General features: G+C 39.3%; 1 long non-coding RNA gene across 1 annotated transcript, besides 1 other annotated feature; it reads right to left on the bottom strand.

Annotated features, from left to right (window-relative positions):
• LOC105379289 (uncharacterized) lies at positions 1–25271 on the bottom strand. Its single transcript, XR_949509.3, has 3 exons — positions 24741–25271; positions 18739–18859; positions 1–38 (listed from the first exon to the last, which is right to left on the bottom strand). It is a non-coding gene; the product is annotated as an uncharacterized LOC105379289 (long non-coding RNA).
• Positions 21167–21808: an enhancer, noted in NCBI's record as "NANOG hESC enhancer chr8:12726438-12727079 (GRCh37/hg19 assembly coordinates)". NCBI's record gives its function as "activates a minimal SCP1, AML or CMV promoter by ChIP-STARR-seq in naive H9 embryonic stem cells {active_cell/tissue: H9 hESC(naive)}" and the evidence as "EXISTENCE:reporter gene assay evidence [ECO:0000049][PMID:30033119]".
• Positions 25272–26430: the final 1159 nt, after the last annotated feature.

Below are 26430 nucleotides of genomic sequence, written 5' to 3'. Positions count from 1 at the left end.
CTCGGCTCACTGCAGCCTCTGCCTCCCGGGTAGAGTTTCTAAAGAGAATTGTCTATTAATGCATTCAGTCATTCAACAAATATCTGCTGAATGCCTACCCTGTACAAGGCAAAAAGTGTTCAAAGATCAATAAAATTTGTTTTCTGTCCCCAAATAACTCACAGCTTAGAAATTATTATTTATAGAGACACAGGTGATAGCGTAGATGTTAGAACAAAATGTTATAAGAACATGAAGAATGGAAGGATTACTTGTAATTAAGCAGCTCAAGAAGGCTTCACAGGGGAAGAGATTTTGAAATTATTAAATAGAACAGAAAAGGGCCATTTATTCAGAGAAGTATGGGCAAGATGTTTAAATACATTTGTATCTATTTTAGTTTGCCCTATTTATAAGAATGCTTCAAATGTTGAGATGCTTATAAATTAGATGTTAATTAATTAAGTGAAAATGATGCAGGAAGAGATGCAGATTTATGTAAAAATAGCGTGATGGAATTGGGCTCTGCGCTAAAGTCAAGTTATGCAAATACAACTGACTGCATTGATAATTGTAAGAGAATTTATCCTTCTAAGAAAGGAATGTTATTTAAATATGTTAAATATATTCTACCAGATAGTGAATATTTATAATACCAACTAATTTTCTATTTAAGATGATGTATATTTAATGTTATGCATTTCTAGTTCTTCTTTTGAAATAATTTTATCTTCAATATTAGTGCTTTTCTTCTCTTATGCATGAGTGTATAGGTCTCATATTTGTTACAGTTTCTCAAACTTAACTTTAAGTTTAAATCTTTTGCCCATTTTTGAAAGTTAGATTGTCCTCTTTTGTCCTTCCTTCCTTCCTTCTTTCCTTCCTTCCTTCCTTCTCTCTCCTTTCTTTCTTTCTTCTTCTTTCTTTCTTTTTTTGACAGAGTATTTGTTATAGAACAATTTCTCAAATTTAATTGATGCTTTTATTTTCTATCTTTGCTTTAAAAAGCAATTTTATTTAGTTTTAATGTACACACCTGCACAAATCTTAAATGCACTACTCGATTAGTTTTTACAAATGTATATATTGACATAACTAACATTCAGATCAAAATATAATACATTTGTAGAACCTTAGAAGTCACCCGCCATACCCTCTCCCAATTCATACTCAACCCTGCAGAGGTTACTGCTGTTTTGATTTCTATTGCTGTCAGTTCATTTTGCCTATTTTTGAACTCTATGTAAGTGGAATGATATAAGTTATACTCTTTTGGGCCTGGCTGTCTTCCCTCAATACCATGTCTCTGAGATGGAACCATGTTGCATATGGTTTGTTCTTTTTCATAGATGTGTTATTAGATGCTATTTATGAATATACCAAAACTTATTTATTTCTAGGGATGGACAGATTTCCAGTGTTAGACTATTATGAATAAGTCTTACATATTAATTGGGTAGACATACGCACTCATTTCTCTAGAATAAATAGGAGTGGAACTGCTGGGGCATAGGATAGGCCTATATGGAACCTTAATAGATATTTTGCTAAATAGCTTTCTGAACTGTAACCATTTAAATTCATGCCAGCAAGGTATGAGAGACTGGGTATTGTCAGCTTTTCGAACATTTTAGCCATTCTGGAGAGTGTATAATATATTGTGGTTAAATTTGCATTTCCCTGATGATTAATTTTGTTGAGATTCTTTTCATATGCTTGTTGGTCATTTGGATATCTTCTAGTGAAGTGCCTAAGGCCTGTTTAAGTCTTTTGCCCGTTTTTGAAAGTTGCATTGTGTCCCTCCCTTCCTTCCTTCCTTCCTTCCTTCCTTCCTTCCTTCCTTCCTTCCTTCCTTCCTTCCTTCCTTCCCTCCCTCCCTTCCCCTCTGTCTCTTTCTCTCTTTCTCTCTTTCCTTTCTTTCCTTTCTTTCTCTTTTTTTTGACAGTCTCACTCTGTCACCCAGCCTGGAGTACAGTGGCATGATCTCAGCTCACTGCAACCTCCCCATCCTGGGTTCAAGCAATTCTCGAGTCTCAGCCTCCCAAGTCGCTGGAATTACCGGCACGCACCACCATGCCCGGTTAATTTTTTTTGTATTTTTAGTAGAGATGGGGTTTCTTCATGTTGGTCAGGCTGGCCTCAAACTCCTGACCTCAAGGGATCCACCTGCCTCGGCCTCCCAAAGTGCTGGGATTACAGGCGTGAGCCACCATGCCCAGCCTGGATTGGCTTTTTCTTATTAAACTATCGGATTTCTATCCCAAACATGAGTTTTTTTAACAGGTATATATGCTGTGACTATCTTCTCCTAGTCTTCAGTATCTCTTTTTACTCTTTGAATGGTGTCTTTTCGTCGTTAAAAATAAGTTCTTAACCTTCATGAAGTTTAGATTTATCAATAGTTTCTTGTATAGATAGTACATTCCATGTCCTGTTAAATAATCTTTTGCCTCCCCAAACAAAAAACCATCATGAAATGGAAACAAAAGTTTTAACATTTCTCATATAACCTTCAATCTTCCACAAATACATATGTAAATTCCCACTTTGACTGTAATCCTAGCACACTGGGAGGCCGAGGAAGGTGATCACTTGAGGTCAGGAGTTTGAGACCAGCCTGGCCAACGTGATAAAACGTCGTCTCTACTAAAAATACAAAAATTAACTGGGCATGGTGGCACACACCTGTAGCCCCAGCTACTCAGGAGGCTGAGGCAGTAGAACCTGGGAGGCGGAGGTTGCAGTGAGCCAAGATTGTACCACTGCACTCCAGCCTGGGTGACAGAGGAAGAATACGTGTCAAAAAAATAAGTAAATAAATAAAAATTCCCACTTTGAGAGCCATTGCTGTACTACATTGTTATAGAACATCTGTAAATAAATAGCTTGTAAATAAATAGCTTTCCTCCCCACAAAACACCAAAATACCTACATGGGAGTACTGAATTTTAAACTCAATTGACAAGGAGTTTTAACTTTAGAGGAGTACTCAGAAATTGTATATTAAATAAATATAATGTATATATTGTTAAGTATATATTAAATAAATGTTTATGCTCTACTGTGTTTCAAAGGTTCAGTAATATTAAAAAATTCTAAACAAAGGAGTGTAAGATAAGGAATCAATTCACTTAAAAGCTTTGGAGCAAATCCCTGCTCCTCCCTCTGCCTCGATGCCCAGTTGAGACCACTGATCTCTCCCCTTGACCCACTTTTTATCACCACACAACACACTCACACTGTCACACACACACATACACACACAAAGGCATTGGTCCCAAGGGAAGAACACACACAACTGAAATATTTCAGTTAGAGCATTTGAAACTTGCTCTAATTGGACAGACCACAAACACAATAGATGGCTTATAATGACTGAACTATTGTTGAATTTGTCTTTAATGATTAATTACGTGCCCATTTTTTAAAATAAAAAAATACATGGAGAATCATTATTCCAAACAAAGGAATGTGCTTGCATTTTCCCATTCTCATTAATCAGATTATCATACAATTACATATCTATACATATATATATATATATGAGATTTCAACTGATTAGGCATATTAAAACATAATTACTAGGCCAGGTGCAGTGGCTCACACCTGTAATCCCAGCACTTTGGGACGCTGAGGCAGGCGGATCGCTTGAGGTCAGGAGTTTGAGAGCAGCCTGGCCAACATGGCAAAACCCTGTCTCTACTAAAAATACAAACATTAGCTAGGCATGGTGGCATGTGTCTGTAATCCCAGCTACTTGGGAGACTGAGGTGGGAGAATCACTTAAACCTGGGAGGCAGAAGTTGCAGTGAGCCAAGATCATGCCACTGCACTCCAGCCTGGGCAACAGAGTGAGACTCCATCTCAGAAAAAAAAAAAAAAAAAAACCCACAAACAAAAAACATAATTACTGAACCTAACTTTTCTAATTTTTAAGGCTCTAAAAAGTTCATAAACATTGGGGTCTTAGGTAGTAGCATGCCCTTATTCAGTAGCACCCCAAAATTCAAATTAGTCTTTCTACATGGCTTCTATGTATAAATGGGAATTTACTCTGTAATTACATACAAAAGACTTCTCTCTCCAATGAAGTTCTAACTACAAATAGAAACACACTAAAGGTTAATGTGCCTCATTAGAGTCAGAGAAAATCGGTGAAATAGTTGACATTCTATTTAAAATCTTAGAGCTGAGAATCTTCCTTCGACATCCAGTGATGAGAATTCACAATACCAAGAATATGTATTTTCTGAGTGTGGACCTTTTCCAGTTTCCCATGATTATTATGGAAAAACCCTCAGGGCAAGAATATTAAGTACATTTTTCTTCTTGTTAATTCATTTTCTAATGCCTTATTTATGAAAATTTTTGTTCACATGTGAACAATACATGCAAGCAAAGGATTACAGGTGCTTTGCTAGAAGGGGCTAAAGAAAGCAGTGAGCTGCAGATTGAGAAGGTCCGTTCCACTTAGGATGGAGAGTGACTCCAGAAGCTTTCCCTAGCCATACAGCCACTTCCGAAAGAGGACCAGCCTCAGTGCTTCTCCTTCATGTCTGCTCTTCCTCTGTGTTCTTTTCCTGTTCTCATCACTGTTGTTCTGTTTTCCAAAAATGTTTTCTTAGCTATCTTATCACTAGCACAATCCAACCAGTCAGCAGAGAGTAACTCTACAGGAATACTCTCACAGCTGTGAGAATATGGAGGTGGAAGGCAGTGATCTGGAAGACTCTGTATTAGTCCATTTTCATACTGCCATGAAGAAATACCTGAGACTGGGTAATTTATAAAGAAAAAGAAGTTTAACGGACTCACAGTTCCACATGGTTGGGGATGCCTCACAGTCATGGTGGAAGATGAAAGAGGAGCAAAGGCATGTCTGACATGGCAGCAGGCAAGTGCGCGTGTGCAGGAGAACTCCCCTTTATAAAACCATCAGATCTCATGAGACTTATTGACTATCTTGAGAAAAGCACAAGAAAAATCCACCCTCATGATTCAATTACCTCCCACCAGGTCCCACCTATGACAGGTGGAGATTATGGGAGCTACAATTCAAGATGAGATTTGGGTAGGGACACAGCCAAACCATATCAGTTTCCTTTAGTGTCTGCTTTGCAAAATTCATGTCTGCCCTGGGCTCAATGTCAACAGACCACTGATGAATAATAAAGTAGCTAAGAGACTGCTGAGGGTGTATGCTTACAAGAAGACCTCAGACCAGAAAGATACCTTATAGCTGTGGGAAAGCTCTAGAAGCCTGACTTAGGTGGCAAAGGTACAGAAAATTTAATCATCTGTGCTTTAGCTTTAGCATTCTAATAAAGGTTGGATTTGCAGTGATCCATTCTGTGTTGCAATGTTCCCTCCTGTTCTTCAGTACATTTCATTCTGTTCTAGTTGGAGCAGAACCAAAGTTCAAATAGCAAGAAGCATTCTAATGCTATATTTTTAACAATTAGATCTCCTTAGGAGATTTTGTGCAATAATTAGGATGGATATGAAATGGAGTGCTGGTGAGCTGCTCTCCCTCAGCTCACAAAAAGTGCGTGTGTATGCTGGGTTGGATTCCAAGGAGGTCTAGGTTTCCACTAGGTTTTTTTTTCCTGCTTTTCCTGAAACTTTACAACTAATACTTGAACACCATCCTCACCAGAGCAATTCTGAAAACTAATTTATATGTATTTACATAAGAAAAATGAAGAAATATAGACAGAACAATCTGAGCCAAAGAAATTGTGCCTTATGCATTTGACAAAAACCTCCTAATTCTTTCAATCATAATGTGCTAGACTTGTCAATCCTCCCAGCTTATTTTTGTTTTTTTAATTCTTTCCCAAAATGTTACACTTATTTATTTGTTGCACTGGAGCAAAAAATATTTCAAGATTATATCTCAGTAATTTTAAATTTGGAGGACATTTTTATTAAATGGGAAGGAATTTGGGACTTTTTGAAGGTTTGAATCTCTCAGTGGGAAGGAAAAAAGTAGGGAGTGAGAGAGGGAGAGAATGTGTGTGTGTGTGTGTGTGTGTGTGTGTGTGTTGTCTTAAGAGATACAGGGGTATGGTACAGGGGGAAGAAAGAGACATTTGCAAGGAAATTACAATCCTTTCTCCATTGTGAATTGAAACAGTGCAAATCTTCTTATGGTCTAATACTGCCTAGATCTGGGGTAGTAAGCTATTATAAATACTGGTGCCTGAAATCCCTGATTCCACGTGAGACATACAGGATCAAGTGGAAACTGTATAATTTTGTTCTAATTACTTTGTTCAAAACGTGTCTTTACCAACTATAAGTCTATTGCCCTAACTTCTGATGTTGTCTTTTAAGACCCCCAAATTAAAATCCCAGTTCTGTAGACATTGTTACCAGCAGATATCTTTTTTCTTCTCTTTTCTTTTAAGAGACAGGGTCTTGTGCTGTCAACCAGGCTAGAGTGTGGTGGCACAATCATAACTCACTGTAACCTCGAACTCCTGGGCTTAAGTGATCCTCCTGCCTCAGCCTCCCAAGTAGCTAGGAATAGAGGCATGTACGACCACACCTAGCTTATTTTTTAAAAAATTTCTGTAGAAACAGGGTTGCCCAGGCTGGCCTCGAATTTCTGGCCTCAACCAATCTTCCTTCCTTAGCCTCCCAAGTTGCTGGGATTACAGGTGTAAGGCACTGTGCTCAGCTCACCAGCAGATATTGTGATGTTTCCACAGATAAATTGTCAAGATTCAGGTGCCCAGTGTGAGTGGAAAAGGTAAGACTCACGTTTAACTGAGCTTATACTTATTAATATTTTAGTGTACAACTCCTGACATTTGTTCTGATTCACTAGGTCTCTAAAACTGTTATAGAACACAAGAGATAAGACATCTTTACCCACACATAGGTGAAGTAGAAAACCACCTAATTCATAAATTTAAAGCTCAAACATTTCCCTACTTTTAAACATTTTCTGTATTGGTTTGAATTGTTTTCCTTGTTGGGGCTGACATTGTTGTCCTGTGGTTATAATAGTTTCTTGAAAGGCTGAGTTTGTTAATGGTTCTGTTTCCTGTATGATCTTTATTTCCACAGTTGTCAGCTCTTCTGAGTTTGGTGCCATTCTTTCATGATACTGATTTTTCCAAAATGTTTGATGATTGTAGTTGTTTTTTCTCATATTTATATTTGCTTCTGTGTAACAGGAGTGAGTGTTGGGAGAGCTGAAAAGACTTTTCCTTTGGACAGTGGTTGTTGGTGCTGATAAATATATGTGGGATTCATCAAGCTCTTATCTGTACCTAAAAAAATTGATAATATTTGTTCCAATATTTTCATTGTTTTTTATAACCATCTGTCTTGGTGTTGGTGTTCTTTATGCCGTCTGTTTTGGTTTAAGTGGAACTTGCCATTCTCAATAAGAGAAAAATATTCTACTTACTGAAGAGAAGGGTTTGTTGAGATGCATTTGAGTGTATGTGGGAAGCGCAGACAGAATACGTGAGTAAAGTCTAATTGTTGGCATGAAACAAGACTCCCCCTCCTAAATAAAAATACTGTCTTCACTTCTTTTTCACCACTTCTTTCTAGTGAGATGTTTCTCTGCCTTACCCTTTTCCAGTGTCCAGTGGAAACTTAAAAGCTTCCAAGTCTATTATTAAAAAGTCAAAAACTAACAAATGTTGGCGAGGGTGCTAAGAAAAAGGAACACTTATACAGTGTTGGTGGGAATGTAAATTAGTTCAGCCACTGTGAAAAGCAGTTTGGAGATTTCGCAAAAGAACTGAAAATAGAACTACCACTCGACCCAGAAATCCCATTACTGGGTACCCAAAGGAAAATAAATAGCCCTACCAAAATGACACATGCACTTGTATGTTCATGACAGTGCTATTCACAATAGCAAAGACATGGAATCAACCCAGGTGCCCATCAATGGTGGACTGGATAAAGAAAATGTGGTACATATACACCATGGAATACTATGCAGCCATAAAAAAGAATGAAATGATGTTCCTTGCAGCAACACAGATGCAGCTGCAGGCCATTATCCTAAATGAATTAACACAGAAACAGAAAACCAAATACAGCATGTTCTCACTTGTAATTAGGAGCTAAATCTTAAGTACACATACACATAAAGATGAGAACAATGAACACAGGGGACTCTAAAAGAAGGGAAGGAAGCAAGGGCTGAAAATCTTCCTGTTGGGTACTATGTTTACTATCTGGGTGATGGGATCAGTAGAAGCCCAAATCTCAGCATTAATGTAATATACTCAGGTAAAAATCCTGCACATATGCTCTCTGAATCTAAAATAAAAGCAGAAATAAGAAAAACAAAAACCTGACTTCTCACAATGGCTCACACCTGTATTCCCAGCACTTTGGGAGGATCACTTGAGCCCAAGAGTTTGAGACCAGCCCGGGTGACATAGCAAGACCTTGTCTCTACAAAAAATACAAGCAATAGCCAGGTGTGGTGGTGTGTGCCTGTGGCCCCAGTTACTCAGGAGGCTGAGGTGGGAACATCACTTGAGCCTGGGAGATTGAGGATGCAGTGAGCCATGATCATGCCACTGCACTCCAGCCTGGGCAACAGAGTGAGACTCTGTCTCAAAAAAATCCCCCCATGCCTGGAGCGGTGTCTCACGCCTGTAATCCCAGCATTTGGGAAGCCGAGACAGGTGGATCACGAGGTCAGGAGATTGAGGCCATCCTGGCCAACATGATGAAACCCTGTCTCCACTAAAAATACAAAAATTAGCAGGGCATGGTGGCACGTGCCTGTAATCCCAGCTACTCGGGACACTGAGGCAGGAGAATTGCTTGAACCTGGGAGGTGGAGGTTGCAGTGAGCCAAGATCGCGCCACTGCACTCCAGCCTGGGTGACAGAGCAAGACTCCGGCTCAAAAAAAAACATCCCCCCAAAAACAAACAAACAAAAAACCCTCCAAGCCTCATTGCTGAGAGACTGATGCTGCAGTATAATACTCTGGGTAATAGTGAGGACCTTGTTCTTATGTTAGGATTCTTTCCTACACAAACTTCTTGAAGTATATTGGGTGTCACCTGAGACACTTTAAAAAATGACACCCAGCTTAGTTACCTCTGAATCTGGGACTGAAGTTGGTAAGGGTCTTAGGGCCCATGTCTACTGTTTCATCTTTCCATTTATAATTAATATAAACCAAGTTCTACTGTTAGTGATTTTGAAATCACTGAATCTTGTATCTGGACTTAGAGTTGTAATCATAAACTTTATCTCTCTGCATCAGGTTTTCATGCAGTGCTCCCAGTTAAAATGCAGATTCATGAGGCCACACCCACAGCCGCTTGGATTCAGCGTAACTGGAGACGGGTGCTGGTTCTGGGATTTCCTTTGATGAAGGAGTACTCCAAAGAGTCTTTGGTAAATGGAATTTGGGGAACCATTGATCTAGTGATTGCCTCCCTATCTGTGTCAGTTAAACATCAATTTGGTTGACACTTCCAATGGGTGAACATACACTCTTTTATTTAATATGGAGTCTCCAAAGAGACTTCTACAAGAGGCCAAATCATGTAGAATTTTCAAAGCCAAGGGAGAGAGTTTGGATTTTAAAGTGTGAAAGGAAGATTTTCCGAGTTTTATACACAAAAGAGTGGTCTGATTCAGGGCTTGTCTAAGACCCTGCACCTAATTTTCTTTTTAAAATTTTATATTCTTTCTCTTAAAGAAGATCCCCAAATTGTGTACGTTTTTGATTCCCCAAATCCTGGATCTGCTATGGCATGTAAAGGGCCTAGGAGGGTACCTGGCACACATGACATCCTCAGTAAATGGAGGTTTTCTCTCTTCGTGTCTTCTTCTTCTTGAAAGTCATACCTTACCTTATTCATTTATATCTCCAGCTCAGTGAGTGACACGAAGGGACATTCTTTTTATTTTCTTTTCTATTTTTGAGGACAAAGTCTTGCTCTGTTCCTCAGGCTGGAGTGCAGTGGTGCAATCATAGGTCACTGCAGCCTGGAAATCCTGGGCTCAAGTGATCCTCCCACCTCAGCCTCCCCAGTAGCTGGGATTATAGGCATGTGCCACCATGCCCAGCTAATATATTTTAAAACATTTTTTATAGAGATGGAATCTCACTATGTTGCCCAGGCTGGTCTTTACTCCTGGCCTCAAGTGATCCTCCCACCTTGGCCTCCCAAGGTGCTGGGATTACAGGCATGAGCCACTGCTCCCAGCCTAGCACCGTTAAACAGTTACTGAGTGACTGATAGAAAGTAGGGCAGGAAGAAAAGAGAACTGACTTTTTGCTCTTTTCCTTCTCATACCACTGAGTATTTTGTTAAAAACTCCTCGTTTATTTTAACTTCAGTAAATGCAAAAAAACTTCAATTGATAGACAGTAGAGCCTTCCTGACATGCACAACTATAGTTGTTTCTTTTCATTTTTGCTTTTTTTATTGTTGGTGGTGTTTTTGAGACAGAGTTTCGCTTTTGTCTCCCAGGCTGGAGTTCAGTGGCGCAATCTCGGCTCACTGCAACTTCCGCCTCCCAGGTTCAAGCGATTCTCTTGCCTCAGCCTCCCAAGTAGCTGGGACTACAGGCACCCGCCACCACACCCGGCTAATTTTTTGTATTTTTAGTAGAGACGGGGTTTCATCATGTTGGCCAGGCTGGTCTCAAATTGGATGGAATAAGTGATAGATATCAATTTTATGGGGAATACATTGTTCCTGATTTTGCCAAAGTGCTGGAAGGAAACAAGAATCTTGGAATAAATGCTCTCTGTTATGTTGATTGTGAAACTCATAGGCTGCTGACATTTTGAGAAAACTTTCACAGGTTTTCAAAGATATTAACTGGAGGAAATGTGAAAATGTCTATTGCTTTTTTACTCTGAGTAGCAGATACTATATACAAAAATGCACATGTTTTTGATATTTTGCAAACGTCAGTCATTATTGCTGGATCTTAATTATTACCCTGATTAAAAACTTTAAAGATTACCCTCTCCTCATAATATATTTACAGAAATGCCATAATCATCTCAGCAGAAATATACATTCAATTTTAATTTTCTTTAAAAAAGAGGCTTCCTTTTATCTTGACTTCTGGGATTGCGACTTCCTCCTACCTTTCTGTTTCATCTCAGTCTTCTTTATGGACTCCTATTATTCTTTTTTCCTCTTAAAGCCTGACATTTTTCAGGTTTATGTCCAAGTTCTCTTTCTTTCTTTTTATGATCTCTTCGGAAAACTTCACCATCTTTCTGGCTTCATTTGCCTCCAGTGTTTCCAGATTTTTACCTTGAGCCCCAGGCCCTTTCTTGATTTTGTGAGACTTACAACCGAGTGTCCCTGGAAGGCTAGGATACAGATCGGAGAGGTTCACTCACCATGCTCAGAAGTCATCTGGTTCAAGACCTTGGAGAAGGAATACTGTGTTCTAGTGTTAGGGCCCCTGACAGAGGAAATGCACAGAAGTGAAAGCTAAAAAGGTCTACAAACAAATTGTCAATGGAGACACAATAAAAGGTGGATAATACTTCCTAATTAGTTTCTGTAATTGAAAATTATAAAATTAAGATGAACTGATTATTTCTATTTTCACTAATTTGGTGGATTACTCCCCATTAATCTGAAAGAGAGTGGTTTTTACTTCTCAGAGACTCTCCACTCCCGGGACATGAAGAGGTGTCGTTTTAAAAGCTCCCCTCTGTCTGATGTATGGCATGATTAGGACCAAGGGTTCTCTCTCCTCCAGGCTCTATGCTCAGCATTTTATAGATACTAACTTTACCAGTTCTCACACTGACCATGAGGAATGTGACTATGAAGAAACAGATTCAGAGAGCCTAAGCAATGTGCTCAGGATTACACAGCCAGCCTGGAGCCAGGATTCAATGACAGTTCTGTCTGACTCCCAAAGCCTGGGCTCTCTATACAACATCACACTGCTTCTCAAAGAAAGACAGTCATTCTTTTGGTTTTTTTTTTTTCTGTTTTTCAACTTTTATTTTAAGTTCAGGGGTACTTGTGCAGGATATGCAGGTTTGTTACATAGGTTAATGTGTGCCTTGGTGGTTTACTGCACAGATCATCCCATCACCTAGATATTAAGCCCAGCATCCATTAGCGATTCCTCCTGATTCTCTCCCTCCCCTAACGCTCTGCACAGCTGTCCAGTGTGTGTTGTTCACCTCTACGTGTCCATGTGTTCTCATCAATCAGCTCCCACTTATAAGTGAGAACATACAGTGTTTGGTTTTCTTTTCCTGTGTTAGCTTGCTGAGGATAATGGCTTCCAGCTCCATCCATGTTCCTGCAAAGAACATGATCTTGTTCCTTGTTATTTATTTATTATTATTATTTTTTGAGACAGAGTCTCACGCTTGTCGCCCAGGCTGGAGTGCAGTGGCACAATCTCGGCTCACTGTAACCCCCGCCTCCCAGGTTCAAGCGATTCTCCTGCCTCAGCCTCCCAACTAGCTGGGATTACAGGCACCCAACACCATGCCCGGCTAATTTGTGTATTTTTAGTAGAGACGGGGTTTCACCATGTTAACCAGGTTGGTCTCGAACTCCTGACCTCAAGTGATCCACCCGCCTCGGCCTCCCAAAGTGCTGGGATTACAGGTGTGAGCCACTGCTCCCGGCCAGTCTTGTTCCTTTTTATGCCTGCATAGTAACCCATTGTGTATATGCACCACATTTTCTTTATCCAGTCTATCACTGATAGGCGTTTAGGTTGATTCCATGATTTTGCTATTGTAAACAGTACTGCACTGAACATATGTGTACACGTATCTTTATAATAGAATGATTTCTATTCCTTTGGGTGTATACTCAGTTATGGGATTGCTGGGTCAAATGGCATTTCTGCCTCTAGGTCTTCAAGAAATCACCACACTGTCTTCCACAATGGTTGAACTAATTTATACTCCCAGCAACATTGTAAAAACATTTCTTTTTTCTCCATAACCTCACCAGCATGTGTTGGTTTTTTTGTTTTTGTTTTTGTTTTTTTTACTTTGTAGTAATAGCCAATCTAATTGGTGTGAGATGGCATCTCATTGTGGTTTTGATTTGCATTTCTCTAATGAACAGTGATACTGAGCTTTTTTCATATGTGTGTTGGCTGCACGAATGTCTTGAGAAGCATCTGTGCATGTCCTTTCCCCATTTTTGAATGAGGTTGTTTGATTTTTCTTGTAAATTTGTTTAAATTCCTTGTAGATTCTGAATATTAGACCTTTGTCAGATGGCTAGATTGCAAAAATTTTCTCCCATCCTGTAGGTTGTCGAAAAACGTCTTACTATCCATATATGGGGAGGTAACTTCACAGCCCAGTACTCCCATGCTTGAGAGAAAAATGGGGCACAATTTAAATGGCATTGCCTTTTAAGTTCTCATGTATCCCCCCCAAAATGAAATGCATTCTTAAATTCCATTTGTGTATATATAGCATATGCTATCGAAATGAGCTAAAGTTTCCATATTTTAACAGATATAGTAAAAAACTCCATTGTGGTCCATAAATTTAAAATGAATTGAATTTCAAAATTGTTTTAAATGGACACAAAAGACACTATCTCCAAATTGAGTTGATTTTGCCATGGCTCTGAAAGGTAATGGATACACATGTCTCTCTGAGACATGTTCCTCTATTACAACACTGTCTTTCCAAGATTAGTAAAGCAGCCACGGAATTTGCTCACCCTTTCTAACCAAACCTACCTAAGAGGGATGGAGCAAATTGCCTCTTGGTGCATCTCACTCCTGTATCCTTGAGAGGCATTTAAGTGAGTCTCAGAACCTGAAGTCCTGATGGCTATGCTCTAGTAGAAATGCAGTTTTTTCTTCAAGGCACAATCATTTTACATAGTTTCAGTAAAATTGGATTGCATAGGTTGTATCATGTGAAGAAGACAATTCAGGAAAGGCAGGCAACTGAAAAATCTAAAAGACAAGCAGCTATAGTTGCATTACAGAACAAAAGCAAAATAGGAATCAAATCTTGCTTGGAATCACATATTGAAGAATAATTCTGAGTAAAGAAGAAAACGTGGTGTTGCAGAAAGTGATTTATTAGCTCTCGGCATCTGGAGACTGCTCTCCAGAGATACTTTCCTCTCTTCTTCCCACTGGCTAATTAAATGGGAGGAGGGTGCCCACGCAAGGAGAGCTTGCAAAATACTTTATAACCTGGACTATTCACCAACATCAAATAGCATTAGGGAATGGCTGAAAGCCACACATGGGAACCTTTCAGTCCAACCAAACCAGGAAAGGGCTCAGAACATCAGCTAGTGAGTGGAGGGGAAAATCTCAGAAGTTGCAAAGATGTGCAGGTTCATTTCACAGAGCCCTCCCTGAAAAGCCAGAGCACTGACCATATCAAAGACTCCCATTTGAAAGAGATTGCCAAAAGGAGTTTTCAAACGATAATGTCTACCAATGGAATGTATTTAAGAACAGAAATAAGAAGTTAAGTTAAAATTAAATGAGTAAGTAGAGAAAAAGGATACACACTTAGAAATAAAGTAACCTTATGCATAACATGTTCAGGAAGCAAAATATAATCAATAGCAGATACAAAGCAAATTTTTGGCTGTCAGGAACAATACAATATTCAAAAAGTAAATGAAAATTCACTAATAGCTTAGTGACCTTTATTATTCTAGGGTCGTGTCATAAAACCAGTTAAAATTATATTTGTTTGGCTGTTCTAGTCCAAATGCTCCACTAAGAAAATTTCTCTCCCAAGCTAAAGATGTGAAGGAACTTGCAAAGTGTCTATTAACAATTATTGAAAAGTAATTTGTAAATGTGAAGGAACTTGCAAAGTGCCTAGTAACAATTATTGAAAAGTAATTTATCTTTTAAAAAGCCATTGATTAAAAGAGACATCAAGATGCAGTAGGAATGATTAAGAGACATCTTCTCAGATGGATGGGGGAAATTAAGCAGAGAGGCAAGAATGAGCCATCTGGAGGGCTTTCAGCTTAGAAGAGTCCGTGGATTTAAAGGATCACTGTATTTTTCCTTCCATGGAGATTTATTTGAAACAACAAAGCTGAACCGAGCAAATGGGAGAGAAAAGGAAGTCTGGAAGACACCAGTGAAACAGGGACTAATTAAAAAAAAAAAAAAGAGTAGGGAACGAATGTGCTGCCCTGGACCTGGGTGATCAGCCGAACCTCCCCTGGCTAACATCGCTGGAAAGAGGCCTTGCTGCTTGGTAACAGTGATGCAGTGATTGGGATGTCTAGTTGTGAGAACACAGCAGAGAGATGACCTTTCTAAAAAGTCCTTAACAATGTTTTAAAGGGGGAAGAAGAAATATGAACATTTAGGACTAAATAGGAATAAGCTAGCCTACCTATTATTTATAGGTGAAGAAAGGAGATCCAGGGATTTGTTAGAGCTACAAGCTCGCTGTGCTGTTCAAGGACATCCCACTTACCCTAGCCACGTCTTCTTTCTACTACAGAACAGGTAGTGCTAAAGAAGGCTTTATAATTGGTAGCTTGAAAGGCTAAAAGTGATCTGATCTGTTTTTGTGTCATATGCTTTGGGAAAGCACGTTAATTATCCAACTTTTGTCCAGTAGAATATATTACAATCAAAGCTCCCATACCTTTGCACAAGATAACGACATCTGTGCTTTGAACATCTCCTCCTTTGTCTGCCTGGAAAACTTAACTTCTTTTTATTAAAAATTCTGCTCAAGAGCCCCTCTCTCTGATGCCTCCTCCAATCCCCCCAGTCAGAATTCACATCCTTCTATTCTAGCTATCTTAAACATGGTTCTATTTTGTATGTATCACTTCTTTCTGTTGTGTTTATTTGCATATAAGTCTGTCTCCTATGCTAGATATTGAGTGTCTGGAGAACAGACATGGTATTTTATATACATTAATATGTCCAGTAGATTCCATGGCTCCTGGTAACATAGGAACTATTCAATTAATGTTTGTTAAATTGAGCTAACTAGGACTAACCACCGATTGTTTCTACTCCAGGCTCCCCAGCTGTAGGCACAAAGACTTTGATCCTACAGGCTTAGTCCTGCCACGATATCCTCAGGGCTCCATTAAATGTGGGATCCCACTTTAAACTTCCATATGTCTCCAAATGACCCTCCGGGGAAGAAGAGTCCTGTGTTACTTCTCAAGCAGTGTGTTAGTGGCCTGTCACCTGCTGAGATCTTGCATCCCCCATTCCTTCGGGAGTTTTATTCTGTCTTGGTTCCTACCAATGACTTTTCAGAGCTGTGCTGCTAATGCCCACATGACCACTAGTGCTGCTGCTGTTTGAGACACTTCTTGACCCTCCCTCAACAGCCTGGATTCCCTGGCTTATCCAGCAGCTTGGAACACATACGTATTGGCCAAATTGTGCTGAATACTGCAGTTTACACTGGGGCTCTTTCTCTCCCCACCCTTATCTCTTCTCCCCCTCTCTATCCCTTCTCCCCACTTGTAATAAGGCCAACTCTATGCAGACTCCATTCTGAAAGTATCAAAATCTAAACATTCTCAGCGTCATCCATTCACACAATATCCAGTGAGTGCTTCTGTGCTAGGTACTGACCCGCCAGTGGGGAAGTAACAGTGAATAAGGCAGTCGGGGTTCCCATCTTCTGTGATCTTCAGGACTATTCCCTCCTATTAAGGATGCTCAGTCAGCCCCTGTGGGTTAGGAGATGATGTCTTTTTTCTTTTCTCCCATTCAGAACTCAGATTTTTGAAATGCTGGGCCACATTCACTTTCCCCTTTTCTTTACCTTCCAGTCACTTCTTAACCCACTATAATAATCCAGCCCTTCCATTGAAATTTTGTTTTCCAACGTCATCAGTGTCGGTTTTTAAATTGGTGCATCTGGTAGGTATCTTTCAGCTGTTTTCTGACTTGACCGTTCTGCAGCATTTAGTAGAGTTGAGCACTTCTTTAAATACAGTCACAGGCCTTTAAGCAAGACCCTTTCCTGGTTGCCTTTCCTACCTCTCCAGCAATCCCTCGACTTTCTTCAAAGATCTTTCTTACTGTCTTAAAGGTATCTGTTCCCCGGAGTCAGTAGCTCTATGTTCTTCTTGCACTGTGCGTTCTCCTGGGATAGTTCTCATTTCTCTGATTTAAGGGCCACTGCAGAACAACTCCAGGGAACACCATCCCTGCAGTGTTCCAGTGCTTGACTTGAACTTCCTGTAACATTTTGTGGTCTCCCTATTTCACTCTGGGAGTTTTGCACTTTGCCTACCTGGAATGTTCTGTATGTGCAATGCCCCACATTGCTGGGAGGTGATGCATTTGTCACTGCTGACCTCTCCATCTGGGAAGCACTCCTATTTTGAACACTATGACCAGATCTTCTCTTGATTTTCTTCACACTTCCCCAGAAGCAGCTTTCCAATCCCCTTCATCCAGCCTTCTGCCTTGACACAATCTGAAAGCGCTTCCCTTTTATTCACCACTCTTATGAAACTGACTGGAAAACAAATACCCTTCTCTTGGGTCCATCCTGTAAAGTCTAGTTTTAAAAAGTCAAATTCATGAATATTTTTAGGTTCTGCAATTTTTCTCTGTAGCAACAGTGGCCCTAAGGTTTTAAATTATGCAGTACCCAAAAAGATTCTTAATGAGAAATAAGTGGTGGAGCTATGATTTTGACCTGAAGAGGCTTTCAACCTTTTAATCCCAATGAATGAGTCATCCAAAATGGCTATAATGATCCCTCTTTTGTATGTCCTTTTAGGGTAGAATTTAATTGCTTACTTTCTAAATGAATGGTGTGTAGAAGTGATTGTCGGGTGTGACAGACCTCACCATGGCAACCCTCCCTAGGGGAAATTGATGGCTGTGTAAATAGAGGGTTTCTGTTAGGAGCATAACCACCCCCAGGCTGTTCTTTTGGATGCTGTAAGTTACTTAGGATTTCAGAAGAGGGATAGTAAATCAAATATTTTATCAGTTTGGAAAGGCTCAGCCACAAAATATGTATTTATCACTTCAATTTGTTCTCCGCCTGCCATGCCAGTTTAGCACTATCATTTTTTTTTTCCTGTCTGTGGCATTAGGGCTGAGATCTCTGATCAGACACTTACTTCCTCAGTCAGTGCTAAATGCTGTCAACTCACACCTGCCAAACACTGAAAAGGCCATGCCCTCTCTTCAAAGTTTCCCCCCTCCTTATAGGACCGGCTACATAATTTGAGGAGCCCAGTGCAAAATAAAAATATGGAACCATTTGTTGAAAAATTATTTAGAATTTCAAGGCTGGGTGCGGTGACTCACACGTGTAATCCCAGCACTTTGGGAGGCTGATGCAGGTGGATCACCTGAGTCAGGAGTTTTTGAGACCAGCCTGGCCAACAAGGCGAAACCCCATCTCTACTATTAAAAAAAAAATTAGTTGGGTGTGGTGGCACGCACCTGTAGTCCCAGCTACTCGGGAGGCTGAGGCAGGAAAATCATTTGAACCTGGGAGGAGGTTGCAGTGAGCCGAGACGGCACCACTGCACTCCAGCCTCGGCGAAAGAGCAAGACTCTGTCAAAAACAAAAAACAAAACAAAACAAAGCAAACAAACAAAAAAACAGAATTTCAATAAGTGACAGCAAAACCGTAAATCAAGCCAAGGTCCTTTGGAGTAATTGCCCAAGTCCCAGCCCATGGAGGCGGGCTCCCTACTCTCCCGTCTCCCTCCCCTCTCTTTTCCTCATACAGGCTGAAGTTTTCTTCTTTCCTGCTCATTTGGAAGAGTGTGAAAGTGGTGAATGCCTTACCTGTGTAGCAGATTCTTCTCCAAGTTCTCATGTCTTCAAGGTCAGAGAAAAAGGAAAGCTTTGCGGATTTGGTGGTGAAAGTAAACCACTTTGCTGAGTACTAAGTGCACAGATTGTTAGCCTAAAAGAGCCAGAAAACATTTTAATGAAAGTAGCTGTGCCCTGCTAAGGATTAAGCGAAATAGCCTTTTAGTATTATTCCGTTTTTAACATTTTTAGAAACTCTGAAAATGTGTCAGTACATCACATACTTATGTACCAAATCTAGGCTCTGTTTTAATAACAGAAGAAACATATCTATTGTTTATAACAAACCATTGTCTTTTTCCTTCAAATATATTAACATTTCTTTTAAAAATCATTTAAAATTCTTTAAAACATATGAGAACCAGTCCCATCACAAAACTGTGGGGTATAGATACAAGAAAAGCAGCCATGGTTGAAGGATTTATTGCTCCGATGGAGGGTAACCCACTATTTCCCTAAATGTGCCCTGCAGATTGTTACTTTTGCGGGAAGAAAGGACTCCATATTCAAATAAGACTGGGTAATGGTGCTTTAGAAATCCACATAAAAGTTTCCTAGATGCCCTGCAGTTAAAAAAGGAAAAGGAAAATGTAACTGCTCCAAGCCAATCTTGTTCAGCCTTTATGTAACAAAGTTGGGAGTTGTTTTTCAGTTGCCATGGACCCTTAGGCCACATAAGCTGAGCATGCCTGGAAGAGCCAAGCCTGCACCAACCGGGTGAACCTAAGTGCTCTGAATTAAGGGGACTGAATTAAGAAGTGGAGGAACACGGTATAGCAAGGTACAGGATCCAATCAGATTGAGTTCTGGCATCACCCCATGGCAGGATCCAGTCAGATCATGCCTCCCAAAATCATCTTGTTGCAAAATCCAGTCAGATCATGCCTCATTACCCTATGCTTATAAGAAGTGACCCAGCCCCCAGCTCAGGAAGACACTGCTTTGGAAACTACCTCAAGGTGTTCTCTTTGCTTGTTACAAGTAATACATTCCCTTTGCAAAAGCCTCTTTGGTTGTGGCCATTGGGTTGGTATCCACCAAGTGACTGAGCCCACCCCTTGTGTAGGTAACAAAAGCACAAGGGAAGTCTATGATCGATTTATCTTTGTATAAGCCAGTTTTGCCCAAATATATTTAATCACAGAAACGTTTCTTTGCCGTAACTATTAAAAACTGGTAGCGAGCATGCTTTGGGGAATGCTGATTTAACTACTCCTTGGAGATTATAGGAAGGGAATTAGTATTGTTGAGCACCTTCCAGATTCTATGTGCTATTTAATTGGCATGACTGAACTCAATTAATAGAACAATCAGCCCTTATATCAGGAGTCCTATTTTATATATGAGGTTGATATGTTAAGGAGCTCTAATGCACATGCAGTTTTAAGTGGTGCTGAGACTTTAGGCCAGTGTTTGACTCTAGAGCCCAGGGCAGCATTCAAAATGTACTGACAGCAAAAACAAAGTAACATAAAGTATTTATAACACCTTCCAAATGCATGCTCTCAGTTCTGAAGGTTGAGCCTTTCATGAGATAAAAGGAATTTTCTTGGCAGATTTTTCACCAATGAAATAATGAATCTGCCTTCTCATGTGGCCTGCCATCTGCTATGAGGCCCAAGAGACACATTTTTCTCTTCCCTACAAAGCTAGGCTGAACAATTTTACCAAATAACTAAAATGCAGGAGGCAGAATCCCTTTGTGAGAATCAGAGTTCATGATGAGCTCTTCAAATACTGTTAAATTGAAACAAATATTCAGAATATTATAAATCTCACTAGATTCTTCTAGAGATAAATGTGTTAGAAATGTAAACTTTAAGATAAATTTACAGACTTTTATTAAGCAGCTAACACAGGCAGCCAAATCGAAATCAAAGCAGGCTTTCAGGTTTGCATTAGGTTCTGATCAGATTCTAAATTACAATTTATTCTTAAAATGAACGCTGAAATTTGCTGTTGAGCTTCTTTTTCACTCTATATGAAATAACTCAGTATTTTATACCTGCTAGTTTTTCCATATTTTCAGGAAACACTGACTCTTTAATGAGTGAATTGTTACATCTATTAATATTAAAGGAAGCATTCCATAAATAAAGTCAATCTGGAGTTGAGGCTGCGTTACAATAGAGACTGTTGAAAGCAAACGAGAAGAAATAGAAACACTTGGTAAAATGAGGTAGACTAAGAAGACCGCTTTGTTAACAAAGGACCATGACATCTATGGAGAAAGGAAAGAAGAAAACTTTGAGAGACCAGATCTGCAGATCAAAGAACGTAGCCTCCAGAGAAACTGAAAACACCAAAGAGCGGAAAGGGAAAGCTGGTGTTTGTGTTCTTTGGGGTCTGCCTTAGGCGCATATTTAGCAGATTTGGAGAAAATCTATAAATATTTATGAGGGAGACCCCAAATGCATGTGCAGTGGGTGTGCATGCATGTAACATACATTCTCTGTTCATTTTAGGGTAGAATTTTAACATTAAAATGAGGCAGAATTGGGCTCTTTACCATCAAAAGGTGAACTGTAGGGCATAGAGGCGTTTTGCAGGCAAGGGCTAGCTTCTGCTCAATTATAGGAAACAAGACCTTATGACAGGAATACAGGGTTTTGTGGCCAACCCCTCTCTGCTACGGCCACTTGATTTCATCTCTGAAGTGCCTTGTTTTAGCCACAGGGAGTTCGTTTCATCCCTCAGCAGGGGGTCTATTTTAACAGCTCTCACAGGTTGAAAGAGAGATTACAGTGACAGAAGACCCATTCAGAGAAAGCTCGATTCATGGTGGCCGCACTGGAGGGACCAGTAGGGATTAACTAAATACATCTGGTGGGTTGACCATGACGCAGTATGTGTGGAAACACAGACACACCAGCTAGTAAGCAGTAGACCCAAGACTAGAAGACTCACTACTTCTCCTAGCAGTGGGAGGGCCTGGTCGGTTTCAAAGAGCAATGTCTGTTTCCAAGGGCAGTGGGAGGGTAAAGGTGGTCACCCATGAGGACTGCTCTCAGAGATACATATAGTGTGGTACCTTCATAGGTATAAGGTGAGGGTACCGCACAAGAGGCAATAACACCGGGGTCAAGATTAGGAGGCTGGGGAGTGAGAACCAGAGAAACTCATTCTGGAACACACAGGAGAAGAGCTCCTGAAAACTCTAGAAAGAGCTGGGAGAATCTTTGAGGGCGGCTGATTTCTAGCAATCAGTCAATTTGAGACAACGTAAGATGCTTAACTCTATGTTACAGTGGCAGGCTGAGAAGTCCATTAGAAAATGCAACACTGCATAACGATGTAGGGTTGGATGTGTTGGTCATGTTGCCCATTGCTTGTGTTTACCCAGCACTCCATTTCTCCTGTAACAAAAATTCGCTCCATCTGATGATGATGGGAGTGGGCACATGACCCAAGTGTGGCCAATCACAGTATGTGGTGCCCATGGGTTGCTGTGATTTGTACAAGCATGAGCACATAAGTAAGAGCAAGCCAAAGGGACTATATCCTTGAACTTAATTGAGTCTGCTTCAAATAAATAGTAACAAAGCATTTATAATATAATTGGGGAAACTGAAATGCTGACTGGATGTTTAATGACATTAGGCAATTGCAATGAATATTTTGGGTTCACCAATAATATTGTCCTTGTCCTTTATATGTTCATACTGGAATATTTATGAATAAAATGATTTGAAATCTCATATTTGAATCAAAATAACAAAAATAATTCAAGAGAGTGTGGGTCGATGAAACAAGATTGTCCGTGTTGAAACAGGATGGTGGATACATAGGGGTGGTTTAATTATACAAATGAAGCTGATCACATATAATCCCTTTGCATAAAATGTGTATTTGTTTTTGTAAATAAATGTATATTTCTATGCATAGAACAAAACACTGAAAACTACACACACACAAGCACATATAAATATATTGCATTTAATATATTTCACATATATAAATATCAATATTGCATTTAAATCTTTAGACCATCTGCACTTTATTTTAGAGCATGGTGAGAAATATTAGCTTTTTCTCCCCGAGTAATTATCCCAGCACCATTTACTAACTAATTCACAATTATTTCACCAATTTGATATGTCGTGTTAATCAAATTCTAAATACTCACAGATCTGTACAATCTATTCAATTTATTTGATGTTATATTTTAGCACATGTCATATTGTGTTAATTATTATGGTATGTAATGTGATGCAAAATCTGAAAGTTCAAGTTTCCTCTTGTAGAAGTTATTCTTATTTTTCAGTGTTTAAATGGCTTCCTGCTCCTTTACTCTTTCAGATAAAACTTAGAGTAATCTCATCAAGCTTTTAAAAATTCCCACTGAGTTTTAGATTACAGTTGCATTTCATTTATATATTATTTGGGGGAATTTTAGGAATCTTGAATGTTGAATCAGCTTTCTGAAAATTGCATAGCTTATATATTTTAAAAGGCCTCTGTAAGAGAATACCAAATGCACAGTACTTGCTTCTGATTTGCTTTTTAGAAAGAGTGGTATGATCTTTCAGAGTTCTGGGTTCTTCATTTTATGTTTCTACCAAATTTTTTTCTTTCTTCTAGCCCTGGTGAAACACATCCTGATTTATTTATTTAGTTTTTATTTATTTTTATTTTACTTTAATAGACTTTTGGGGAATAGAGGATGTTTGGTTACATGAATAAGTTCTTTAGTGGTGATTTGTGAGATTTTGGTTTACTAGAATTTTTAAAAAACGGGGTGTTTCCTTATTTCCAGTATCATGGTCAATGCAGAATCAGGTAATATTTGCTCTGCCAGTATAACTTTATTGAAGCATTCTATTCATTTCTATTTATTTCTAATGTGTGGGTTTCTGACAAACGTTATCCTATATTTTTCATTTTGATCTCTGCTGTATTCCAAAAAAAGAAGGCAAAGTGCTTATGTTTGGAAATTGGGCTCCCCCTGCTGGTACATTTAGCACCTTTATTGCCTCCAATTCTCAGAGCCTTTTAAAACCCAATTCTATTTTATAGAGTCTTGGACCTAAGAGATTAAAGTATTTGCTAACTGCTATGCTATATTATCTGAATGACTAAGATCTATTGATATAAAATTTAGAATATCATATAATTAATTCTAATATGCGCAAACCAAGAACTAAGAGAGACGAGAGATCAGTATAGTTTAAAGGCAGCAAGTGGTGTGCTGGTAAGTGTTTAACAACCGGGCTCTCTGAAAAGCCTGATTTGTAGCATTTGCCAACTTTTCTGGTGTAAATAATTCTACAGTGGCTCATTACAAGTTACCAACGTGAAGTCACTGAAAGTGGAGTTGGGAAAGATGCTCATTTGCTGCCACAAGCTGGCTCCAGCATACCTCTGATTGAAGATGAGAAGGTTTGAGCTGGATTTTATATTCTGCAAAGAATATGTAAGCGCTAATAGCTCATAGTAGAAAAACCATGTGCTTAAAAGTTTGATAGATCCACATTTAAATCCAGCTCCACTGCTTTCTAGCTTTTAGCAATGTGTTTTTTGAATCTAAGTGTTAATGTCTTTAAAATGAGCTGATAATACCTACCTTTCAAGGTTATTGAAAAATTAGAAAGGATAATGTATATAAATCACCTCAGCAGAATGTATATTTCTAATAAGTGGTGAGCTGACTATCCAAAGCCACCAGAGGACAAGATGTTCAGGCACAAAGATGCTGAAATGGGGGCTAGCACACTGAGCAAACTCTTGTCCTCTAATCCCAGAGAGTTTATATCTAGGAAGAGCAGTCTGCTTAACTGGCTATGAGGAAGTCATTCTGGTCATAATGAGAGATACATATTGGAGGAATGTGGAGCACTAATATCAGATAAATATTGTGTCTCGATTTTGGTTTTCTGCATAGGAAGCAAGAGAAGGAAATTCATTGTCAAATAATAGAGAACACATTGCTTTGGGAACTCTGGTTCTGACCTAATGGCAGAAGGAACAAGACTTACCTGTCTCTTTGTTGTCTTTCTGTTGGAGTGGATTTGTTTCTAGTCTTTGCTCTTAATAGGGAGCAGTACTTTGAAAGTGCTGACTTTATGTAGGCCCCTTGGTTCCAACTTCCCATTTGAGAAAGACTCAAGGCTTCATTCATCTCCCCTCTTCTTTTTCGTATTAACAGAGATGCCCCAGGTAACTGAAGATCAGCAGATTCCTAGATTGCTGAGACTAACAACCTGTCCTCTGGAAGCCAGAGCATCACTGCTCAAAGCTTCTCACTGTGGTTTTAGTTCCAGGTTCATTTCTGAACTGTGTCTACATTAGATAATAAAAATATATTATATTTTAGCCAGTATTTCTAGGTGCTTTTAGTGGAAGGATTTTCAAATTCTGTCCTCCACAAGCCGATAGCTGTCAAATAAGTTTATCCCTCCAATCCTATAGGCCAAACAATCTCCAGTTCTATCAGTTAAACGTCCCATTTCAAACCAGTCCAAACTCTTGCCCTGCTACTCAACTCCCAACCTGGCTCACATTTTCAACTTCAGTTTCCCCAGGCATATCCAATCCCCCTACCCTCTGATCAAACTAGAAAACACTCTCTATGATCTAACAATCCACAAAGCAAATACTGCATGGTTCGAAGTCTGTGACAGTAGATGTTTTTTTGATTTGAAGAAGAAGAATAGAAGCATCAAGAATCCTCGCAGAAAAGTTTTTAAATGATTTGTAAAGGATTCATTTAAAAATGATTTTGTTAAGACCCTCCCATGGTAATTGCTAATATTTATAAAACCCAAATTTATGCCTGAAAGTTTCAGTAATTGAGAACAAAAGTAACATCTAAAAACCCCATTACAAACAAACAAGCTTTTTTTTAGTATAAAGTCTTACATTAGTATAAAGTTCTTAGTCTTTACTGTTGAGTCCTTGATGTAAAGTCTTAACTAGTTTTTCTTTTTCTTTTTTTTTAGAGATGGGGTCTGATTATGTTGCCCAGGTTGGCCTTGAACTCCTGGACTCAAGTAACCTCCACTTAGGCCTCTCAAAGTGCTGGGATAACAGATGTGAGCCACTGTGCTCAGCTTCTTTACATTTTTAGTGTAAACTTAGGGTAAAATCTCCTATTGTAGAAGCTTCTATTGTGGTCAATGTAATATGTCAAATTGACTAGGTTATGGTACCCAGATGTTTGGTCAAACACTAAACTGGATGTAGCTGTGAAGGTATTTTTAGAATAAACTTAACATTTAAATCAGTAGACTTTCAGTAAAATAGACTACCCTTCATAATATGGGTAGGCCTCATTCAATCAGGTCTTAGGAGAAAAGACTGAAGCATCCCAAAGAGGAAGAAACTCTGCCTCAAGATTTCAATATAGAAACACTGCCTGGGTGTCCAGCCTGCAGATTTTGGATTCAGGTCTTCAACTTCAACTCTTGCTGAATTTCCAGCCTGATGGTTTGCTGTACAGATTTTGGACTTGCGAGACTTTCCGCCAGATGCTTCCTCTCACCCCTTGTCCCTGGCATGGCTTTATTCCAGAACCTCTGTCAAAATATACTTTATGGGTGGCTACTCTGGCTTAATGAAGAGATAGAGATGGCAAACTTCTCATCAAGTCATATTTGTTTGGCTCTCCAAAAAATGTATTAAGCTATTAATATATTTGCAGCACTGGGGCCACCTCAAAAATGGGTT

Source organism: Homo sapiens, chromosome 8 (assembly GCF_000001405.40).
Source record: "Homo sapiens chromosome 8, GRCh38.p14 Primary Assembly".
NCBI classification, from domain to species: domain Eukaryota; kingdom Metazoa; phylum Chordata; class Mammalia; order Primates; family Hominidae; genus Homo; species Homo sapiens.
This window is presented reverse-complemented; position numbering and strand designations above follow the sequence as displayed.